Source organism: Homo sapiens, chromosome 6, assembly GCF_000001405.40.
Source record: "Homo sapiens chromosome 6, GRCh38.p14 Primary Assembly".
Classification (NCBI taxonomy): Eukaryota; Metazoa; Chordata; class Mammalia; order Primates; family Hominidae; genus Homo; species Homo sapiens.
The window spans coordinates 49,914,145-49,924,873 of NC_000006.12; the positions used below are offsets into that span (position 1 = coordinate 49,914,145).

The following is a 10,729-nucleotide window of genomic DNA, read 5'->3' on the forward strand; positions in this document are numbered from 1 at the left end:
AAGAAATTTCTTCCAAAAAAATATGGTTGCAGTAAGAAACACTAATTTCATGGAACCATCCCAACAAGAGATCACTCTTGAGATAACATAAATAAAAGAATATGCTAAAAGGGAATTAAAATAAGACTGAATAAAGTTCTCAAAAATATAGCTAGCATTCCAAAATAAACAGAAGGCTATGAAACAGAATCAGTTGGATATGTATCAATAACTGTTAGATACAGAGAACCAGCACATTATTGATCTTGGAACAAAATATATATAGTCACCCAAGAGCATTACCCCTCACTTGAAAAAGGAGTCATTAGCTCCTTCAAGGTTCAATGGATGATGGTGATTGCATTGTGTTAGGAGCCTGAGATTTTACAAGGTTATTTATCCACTAAACAACTCGGTATTTGAATGTCCCTCAATAAAGCCCTGAATCTTCCTGGCAGAAAAAGCAAAGCATTAAGATTATGTGTCCAAGCTTACTGAGTTAAATGACCTTTCTTCTGACCTAGACTAATAGCCCTTAACCTATCAATGCTTTTAAGGGCTTTCATTGTTATAAGCTGCCTTGTGAAGCCCAAAGCTGAGAGGAAAAACAGTAGCCTATTTCTCAAGCATTCATTTCAAAGTCAAGTAAATTTTCCATGTACCTATGTGTCTAATAACTAAGACCTCAATACCCATGTGCTTGAAATAGACATGAATTTTAATCTAAGACATGATCTGCCTAAGTGTGACCACTTAAAGTTACCAGCAGAATTTGCCATATTTACTGCACCAGTGCTCCTCCATCTAGGCAGCATTTCTAGGGAAAAAAGTTATCCGTCAGATGACTGTCGAAATGTTATTTTTATATCAGAGTATATTTATTGTAGTAGCTTAAATGGTTATAGAACATTTGTTAAATTATTTTATGCACACATTACTTAATGCTAAATCAGAAGAAAAACGTAGGTGCAGCCCATTTAGGCCCTCAGGGTCTGGACTGTGTGGTGAGAGTTGAAAATGTTCAGTGAGCCAAGAAGCTGTCAGCACCAGGATTGCTGGTGCCAAGAGAGGCCTGAGCAGACTGCTCCCTGCTGGCACCCTTCTTTCCCTGACAGGGATACTGACGGTGAGAAGGACACCACTGCTGCTGCTCTGGTTCTTGTCAGAACAAGAAATCACAAGTAGATCTACAAATAGCCATTTTGTTATCTTCTAGGAACCAAATACAAAGCATTCCCAGTTTGTGTAAGATAGAGGGAGATCAGAGGCAGGCCGAAGGCTACAGCTATGAATGGCAGATTAAATGCTTTCTTTCTACAGCTATATTTATGTCTAATAATAATTATGGTTAATGAGAAGTTGAGAACAGATTCACCCTTCTATCTAATTCCCCAAATTATATTTTCAATTCTACCACTAAGTTTTTTCCAGAGCTACCCGAAGAAAATATAAAGTCCGATAACTTTGGAATTTATATAAGTATTCAGTTTTTACAGTAAATTAAAAACAAATAAACAAACATGTAAGAATTAGTAAGGCGAGAACCAAATCGGCACAATCTGTTTTGTTAACATGCATAATATTCTGTCAAGGCAGGTAGTTCAGCAACAAGAACATCATAAATAATTAATCAGTAATCAATCAATTACAACATTATCACCAATTATAACTGACATTCTTAATCTTTATATATTTTTTATGGCACTGCATGGATATATTTTGCAATTTGGCTTTCTTATGAAGTTTGTAGTTTAGATAATATTTGCTACTGTTTGCTTGCATGTTCATAACAACATATTTTAGAAGGCAAACACATCATGACATTAAATAAGGTTCTGAAAATGTATTTTTTTTAAACATCAAAGCAATTTTAATGCTATTGCAATACCTGTGAGACCCCCTAACATGACCCAGGCAGATTTTTTTTTAAATCTGGGAAAAATGACAAGTCTACATGCTGTGAAAGTATAAATTCATGCACATACCAGTCCTCTGGGTTACTGAGGGTACTATTTGGCATATTGAAGGGAATAATTGGCAATGTGGCACACCCACAGTTCAGCACACCCTCCACCATTTGAAAATGTGTTTTTTTTTTTGCATTTTTTTTAAACTTTAAGAAATATTAAAGCTGTTGAATTTTATTAAAAAAGGATTTTCTGGATAAAATATTTTTAATCCTTACCCTTCTGATGGGTTTAATCATATATTAATAATAATTTCCTAAAAACTTACTGTGTTCTGGAGGCATTTTGAAGAACATAAAGCAAATATCCCCATTACCAGGAATTTTACAATCCAGCTTGATCAACAGATTTTTCATGGAAACACTTTGGGTGTCAATGATTTTATTATTTAACTCTTGGAATTCATGATTTTTGACACCCTCACCCTTACCTACCTACATATTTTCTTTTCTAGTGACTACCCATCCATGGGTCGACTCAATTTCTCTCTGACATAAGGAATCAAAATAAAATTGTTGATGCTTTCTTCTGAGAACTCTTTTAGGCCTTTCCAAATATCAACTCACTTGGCCCATAGACTACTTCCTCTTGCATTATTTATGTATATTCTTACTTCCTATTTCTGTGCCCCATTAAGTCTTAATGTCCCTATGTTTGTTTAGTTAGCTTGATTTTTAATAATATAGATTTTCACCTTTTCTGGAAATCTAAGTATGTATCTCATGGCATATATATAATTTTTCATTTGAGGCAGCCAAAGGATTCTGAATTAAATGTAAACACTCGGATTCAAGTCCTTGGTTTGCCATTTGCCCATCTGTGTAATTTTGTTTCACCTTTCTCTGAACCTCCTTTTTCCATTTACAAAATGAAGTTACTGTAATTGATGATCAAACTGCTGTCTTGTCCCAACGCCCATGATTCCATAATCCTGACTCTCCAAGTTCTATTGTACCAACTAGGTTTCTTTCTACATTCAACAGGTAATAGTGTCGTTTAAATATTTGAATGAGTTTTTGGCATAATCTTACTCTGAAGAAATTCACAGGGCATAGGGATATGTTTATTCTACAATTTTTAGTACCCACTATTTGTGAGGTGTTGTGGGAGTGTTGACAGAGTTTAAGCTTCTATGGTAAGAATCTTTAGAAAGAGGTGAAGAAACATAGAGAAACTGAAAATTTGGTTAAAATATAAAAGTAGCTAATTCTCTTGAAGTTCAGAGTAAATCTAGGTTACTTCATAAAGAGTGATCGGGGCTGGTGGAAAATCAGAATCTACTTCATAGTATAGGTTTCAAGGAGTAGGAGAATTTTAACAAGAGGAAAATGTGGGGAGATGATGCTTGTAGCACAGTGAAGTATTGACAACATGACACAGTTTGTAAAATGCAGGACATTTTAGAGAGAAAGTTCAGTTTTCCTGGAATGTATACTTTGTGTAGAGTATGTCTTGAATGTTGAGATACGAAGAGAAAACTTTTTTCTTTTTTTGAAAAGGTTTACCATTTAAAAGCTTTTAGTTATTATTATTATTATTTTCAAGGGTACAGGTTGTTAATAGAGAAAGACCAAACATAGAGTGGGTCATAATGTTTATTTGTGTGTTTATTTTTTATTTATTTTTATTTTTTTAGATGGAGTCTCACTCTGTCACCAGGCTGGAGTGCAGTGGCGCAATCTTGGCTCACTGCAACCTCTGCCTCCCGGGTTCAAGCGATTCTCCTGCCTCAGCCTCCTGAATATCTGGGACTACAGGCGCCCACCACCACGCCCAGCTAATTTTTGTATTTTTAGTAGAGATGGGGTTTCACCATGTTGGCCAGGATGGTATCGATTTCTTGACCTCATGATCTGCTCTCCTCGGCCTCCCAAAGTGCTGGGATTACAGGCATGAGCCACTGCCCCCAGCCTATTTGTGTGTTATTAAGTAGCTCAAATTGTTAATTTTTATACAAAATAATGGATGAGATGATTGTCTATGTGCAACATTTTTTGTTAGAGTTTCTGTATGATGTTCCTTCTCTGATGGAACCTTTCTTTCTCTCTCTATCCCTTACCTTACCTGTCTCTTTCCTTTCCCCTTCCCTTTATCTTCCTTTCCTTTTCCCTTCCCCCTCCCCTTCCCTCCCTCCCCTCCCCTCCCCTCCCCTGTCCTCTCCTCTCCTCTCCTCTTCTTTCCTTTCTTTTCCTTTCCTGTTGATATTGATATAAATTATTTCACTGAATTCATCTTGTGAGGAATCCCCATATTGCCTCTTTAGGGATTTAATAATGTATCACCTTCACATCATTACATAAATTAACCACACACTCACTCTCTCAGGGTTACCTTTGCAATTGTAAATGGTATAATTGCATTAGTGGCTTTCACAAGCCATTAGTCAGGGACATTTTAATTGAATGTAAAGTGATAATTTCCCTTCATAAGCAAATTTACTGTGTGGGTCTTAAGAGACTGACAGATAGGAGTGTAGGTTTTGCTTACTTTGTTGGATTTTGGTAGTACTGAAGTCTTAAGCGATTGCTCAGATCTTCAGAGGAGTTAGAAAGAGCAGAGAAAGATAGTACATGTTGTAGTACAGTTTTTGTTTTTTTGTTTTTAAACACACACCTAAACAACATTGTTAGAAAAGGACATGCTTCCCCTCTTAACACAAGCCTCATGCTGCTGAAAGGTGACAAATTGACAAGTTCAGGGAACACAGTGTCCCATCCAAAGACTGGGTACCAGAATGACAGTGACACGGCTAAATCCTCCCATCACACTTCCACCAGCTCATCCCAGGCAAGATCAGAAGGGAACTGGCAGCCTCTGAAATGCCTGCTCAGGATTCACACTCTGTGACCTGTTTGGCTCCTGGAGTCTTAGCAGAGACCACCAGCAGGGGAGCTAATTACTGCCAGTCTGTAATGTGGACCTCCGTCCCCCCAGGATTAACTGAATGGAGGTCACTTCTTTTATAGGTATCCCATGTCCAGCTGTGAAGAGCTATTACCCAGTGAGAACTTGTTCCCAGTAATGATCAGATGGGGCTTTGCATTGGAGACCTAGAAATAAAGGCCCCATAATGAATCCCTGGAGTCATCCATGTCCTCACTAGTCTTGCTACAGTTCTAAAATGAGATTAAAAAAAAAATCCCTGCACTTTTATGCACTTTTATTCCTCCCTCTACTAGCTGTATATTTTTGCTCTCTGTCTGGTCTTCATTTCTCTCTGCATAAGCAGTTTTAAGCTTTATTTAAGTGTTGCTTTTCCAAGTGTTCATGACTTTGTGCGGGGCTCACCACACATCACTCATGCCTTATTTTACAGGGTGAGTGGGTAATTAGCATCTTTCACAATTAGCCAGGATTTGCTCTGCTAATTTCATTCCCTGATGAAGGTGCTAACTTGGCGTGAAACTGTAATATGTTGGGTGATTTATTAAGTCGCCACCGATGGGTAGAAATCACATGCCTGCCTTTACTGTTGAGAAAGTTAACAGCATCCATTTGTAAGAGATGGTATTTGAAAAGTGATGTTGGTGTGATTGAATGTGTGAATGCATAATGAAGTCAACCCAGATAGCCCCTTTCTGATTAAATTGTATTAAAATTATGTGGCAGTTCCTTGAAACAAGACTCTCAAGAAAGAAATATGTGATCATCTTTAAAAGTAGCTGTCAGTCACAGTGTAATTCACTGGGGGACTCTAGAGGAAAATGTCATACCTGTTTTTTAAGCAACACATAGAAGATGCCATAGAGATATGAAGGTTCTTTGCCTAAACAAGTTGTATATATAACTTTCAACAACACAGGGGACAAACTTCTTTTAAAAATCTCCAAATTAATCAATTTGGCACATTCACTACTACATTTACTATCATGTTTTCCTCATCTTATTTCCACACTATTTTTTTTTAATATTCAGTATGAAATTCATAATTGAGAAAAATTGATTATACTGAAACCCAGGCTTCTGACAGCACTAATACCTGTTGCTTTTTTTCATTTATCCTGTGTTTACAAAGGAATATTTATTAGAAAAGAAAGGATGAAAGGAAGGAAGAAAGGAAGGAAGGAGAGAGAGAGAAAGAGAGGAAAAAAGAAAGAAAGAAAGAAGGAAAGAAAGAAAGGAGAAAAGAAAGAAAGAGAGAGAGAAAGAAAGCAAAGCAAAGCAAAGCTCCTGTACACAGGAGAAATCTGAAGGATCCAATAAGAGAGTAAACTGACACTACGTGCTTCTTGATGAGAAGCAATGTGTGATCTTGTGATACATCATTTTTGGTGGAAATTGTTATAAAGTATATTATTGAAACGATTGGTAAAATCTGAATATGAATTTCATATTGGATAACTATTGCATCACTTTTAAATTTCTTTAATTTTATACGTGTACTATGACTATGTAACATGTCTGTTCTACGGAGATATATGCTGAAATATTTACAGGTGAAGGGTCAGAAGGTCTGCAACGCACTCTCAAAAGGTTTAGTCAAAAACTAAATACATACCTACATAACATATGTGTATATTTTGTAGGTATATATTGTACCTTTATTAAGAGAAAGTGAAAGGAAGAGCATATATAGCAGAGTTAACAATTAGTGAACACAAGAGGGGTATTTAGAAATTCTTGTATTTTTTTTTGAAATAAAAGGAAAAAGGAAATATGTGATGTCACATCAGAAAACACTACAGATAATTATTCATTCTGAATGCCATATTTGTTATTTGTTTCCATTTTTTTAAACATTCAAAGCTCAAATACACTTTATTATTATTATTATTATTATTATTATTATTATTATTATTATTATTATAGATGTAGTCTCACTCTGTCACCCAGGCTGGGGTGCAATGGCACGATCTCAACTCATTGCAACCTCTGCCTCCTGGGCTCAAGAGATTCTTGTGTCTCAGCCTCCTGAGGAGCTGGAATCACAGGCGTGTGCCACCACACCTAGCTAATTTTTTTTTTTTTTTTTTTTTTTGGTAGAGACGGGGTTTCAACATGTTGGCAAGGCTGGTTTCGAACTCCTGATCTCAGGAGATCCCTCTGCCTCTGCCTCCCAAAATGCTGGGATTACAGGTGTGAGCCACCTTACCTGGCCTCAAATAGGCTTAATTTTTAATAACGAACAATCATATCCTAAACAATTATCTAACTCAGTATTTTTGTATACTAAAACTCTTAGGCCTTTTGGCTTATATACATATCACAGACCATTTAAAATTTGCAAAGATATTGGAAACAATAAAAAAAAAAACTGGAGGAAGATATTTTGTAAACTATGACATAACTTTTTTTTGAGAGAATAACAAGAGATAAAAGTTATGGATGGTGAAATTATGTTTAGAGTGTTATATCCTCCTCAAGTTAATAACATTAAAATTAAATTGTAAAGTAGCAGTTTAAATATATTATTGATAAATATAAAATTAAATAATGGAATAAATAGCAAAGACTAAATAATGGAATTGGGAAGTGAAGAATGGTGAAATAAGGTTGCTATTTTTCATTAAAAATCTAAAGTACTCTTTGATCTTTTAGAACCAGTATATATATCACTTGGACAATAATCAAGATAAAAACTAAGTCCAATAATCACAAAAATTTAAAGACAAAGAAATATTAAAAGCAACTGAGGATTTACTATGTACAGAGTCTAGTATAAGCAGATTTGCGTGCATAGTATTGTTAAAAACTCAAAACAATCTATGAGTATTTATTATCTTTTTGTATTCTTCACATAGTACTTATGAGAAAAGAGAATCATGAGGGTTCAAAAACTTACCAAGATCACACAATAGGACTGAAATAAGATACAAAATCGTGTTTGTTAAATTTCCAAACCAGTTCTTTTAACAAGTACAAAATGCTACTTAACCCACCTCATTTGTTTGACATATATTTACTTGATATACATTTATATATACATATATACATATGTCAAGTACATATATATGCATATATATGTATACATATATATACATATATATGTATACATATATACATATATACATACATCAAGTACATATATTTACTTGACATATATTTATTCATTTATTTGGCATATATTTACTTAACCATTTACTATGTTCTAGGCATGGAATTAAGCACAGGAGACACACACACACACACACATATGTCATATATACATAAAAGAGTACTTTGATACACATATATATCAAAGAGTACTTTAGAAATATACACATATATACATATGTGTGTGTGTGTAGATATGTGTGTGTGTGTGTGTGTGTGCATGCTCAATCTCAATTAATGGGAGAGCCAAATGAATTATTGCATTGTTCTTATAACTATGATATGTACTAAAAATGAAAGAATCACATCTCCAAACCTCGATATCTTTTCTGGTTGAACCCTTTGCCTCCTAGCACAGACAATTCCCTGAAAAGAGGTGTGACATACCATAGGACTCTCTCTTCTTGAAGCACATGAATGTTTTACCAGAGACGTGGGAACATGATTGCATTGTGACAGAACATGTGAGATGGGAGTTAATGAATCAATTCATTCCTCTTTTATTTGAAGCACAGTCTTGAGTCACAGTTCGTATGACTGCTTATGGTTGGTCCTATGAGATGGAGAACTATATCTCTCAAGTATCTACCATAAGGAGTTTAGAAATAATACATTTTTAGTAATGTGGAGAGGAAGAAAAGTCAGTAAAGAGGTCAACAAAGTCACATTCATTGTCAGGAAGAGACCCAGGAGACAGCATCAAGAAAGGAAGTAAATGAAAGTTAAAGAAGTGGATAATTCATCTGGCTAAAAATTTAAAAATGCTGTATTATTTTCAGAAAGACAGTTATGATGAGTATTAGATGAAGACACAGAATAAAGGGACAGTTTTTAGAAAACTGTAATAACTTAAATGGTTTCATAGGATGAGGGCAAAATTTCAAAGGAGAGAGAAGAGAAATAATTGTTGAAGAGTCAGAAGAGAATATGGGCTTTGCTAAAGGTGGTAGGTTAGGCTTAGGGAGAAGTCTCACTGTCTGAAACAGACAAGAAAGGCAGTATCAAGAGGGCAAAGATAGAATGCAGCAGCCCTGAAGTATAGTTAGAGTAGCTCATGGTTAGTAGACTTTTATATTTTCTTGCAAAGTCGTGGAAGAACAGTGGTGGGAGTAGGAGGGCTTTGAGATTCTGAGAAGTATAGTGAAGTTATGGGGGTCCCGTTTTGGGTAGTGAGAAGAGAAGTTGAACAGAGAACATTTGAATAATGGCTGTGAGGTGATCAGGGTCCAAGCATCTTCTGCAGCAGCATGCAGCAACAAGGTGTAGAAGACAGGAAGTTGAATCAACTCAAGGTTACAGATTTTCAGAGTTGGCTGGACAAGGGTATTGAAAATACTGGTAAGAAAGTAGTTGAAATTTATAACCAGTGGTTACAGGGCTGCGCTGAAAATGAATTGTGTATTTGTGCTATATCTTCTCCTTGACAGAAGAGGCAATCTATGTGTGTTATAAATGCAGATATAATCAACATCGTTTGACATGATGCCTAAAAGTTAGATGTAATCATGGAATACAGATGATACTATGAAAGTCAAAACTAAACCAAACAAGTATTGGCCATTGCCCCTTTCCTAAAATATGAACCACTTTCAAAACAAGATATAATACGAATCATACAAAATTTTCTTTACTATTTAAAAATATATTTTTAGATAATTTTACATATGTAAATGTGTGAAATTTTTTGCAGTTTTTTGATTATGGTGAGAGAAAATGTGTGCATGTGTGTGCATATGCTTGTGTGCGTACACATCCATGTTCAGACACCATAATTATGATCTGAAGATCTGTTATAACCTATGCATGGGTCATAGGTTCTAGCCTGCTGGATTGGGGAATGATGAGTGTTGCTGCTGTGAGCCTTTCCTGTGACACAAGACGGAGCTCTGGTTACATCTCTGCTAGACCTACTGTAACAGAAGCAAAAGCAGTTTCTCATTCACAATGGTTCACAGCTGGAATCTTGTTTCTAGTGTCAGCCTGCTCCTCTGGACTTGAATTTCTTGAGATTGGACTAGAAGGCCGTCTGTTCTGTTTTATAGTCTGTTTAATCAGTTGCTGTTTTGAACATAACAATCTTCTGTTATTGGAAAGAATGATTTGTCCTTTGGTAATTTGTTTTGATTTCGATTTTCTTTCAATTTAAAAATAAAAATAAAAAAGAAGTATTATAAATAATTTGTATTATGTGTATGACAGAAAAAATTGTTCATTTTAATCTTTTTAAATAACAAAAATAATTTCATTGGAATATCTTTATCTAAAATTCATGTTATTAAGAAACAGGAGAAAATTACAGGGTTGAAATGTATCAGTTTTTTAAAATATGAAGATTATAAAAACCTGTTGTTGCCTGTTTTTCTAACCAATAGCTTCCTTTTAGTAAAACAACTTAGGTGTTAAGAGATTATATTTTAAGAGCAATAGTAAAAATAACATTCACAACTTAGTCACAAAATAAATCCAAATATTACTTTTTATAATGTATTCCTATATATTTCATCTTCCAAATAATTTCTGCTTTGCATTTAATACATCAAGGGTATTAAAAAAGTGATTTGTTATACACACACACATACATGCACATATATACATATGAAATTTCTATCATAGTCTTAGATATCAGAAAAATTTTTTAATGCACTGTATGACTTGATTTTTTTTTCAGAAACATGAAATCATACCAAAGTGAGAATTTTTGACTTCGTTTCAGCTCTGATTTCTAGTTTCAAGTCTTCTACCAGCTATAT

General features: G+C 34.8%; 1 annotated feature.

Annotated features, from left to right (window-relative positions):
* Positions 658-858: a silencer, noted in NCBI's record as "peak5842 fragment used in MPRA reporter construct". NCBI's record gives its function as "represses an SCP1 promoter by STARR-seq MPRAs in K562 erythroleukemia cells {active_cell/tissue: K562}" and the evidence as "EXISTENCE:reporter gene assay evidence [ECO:0000049][PMID:32103011]".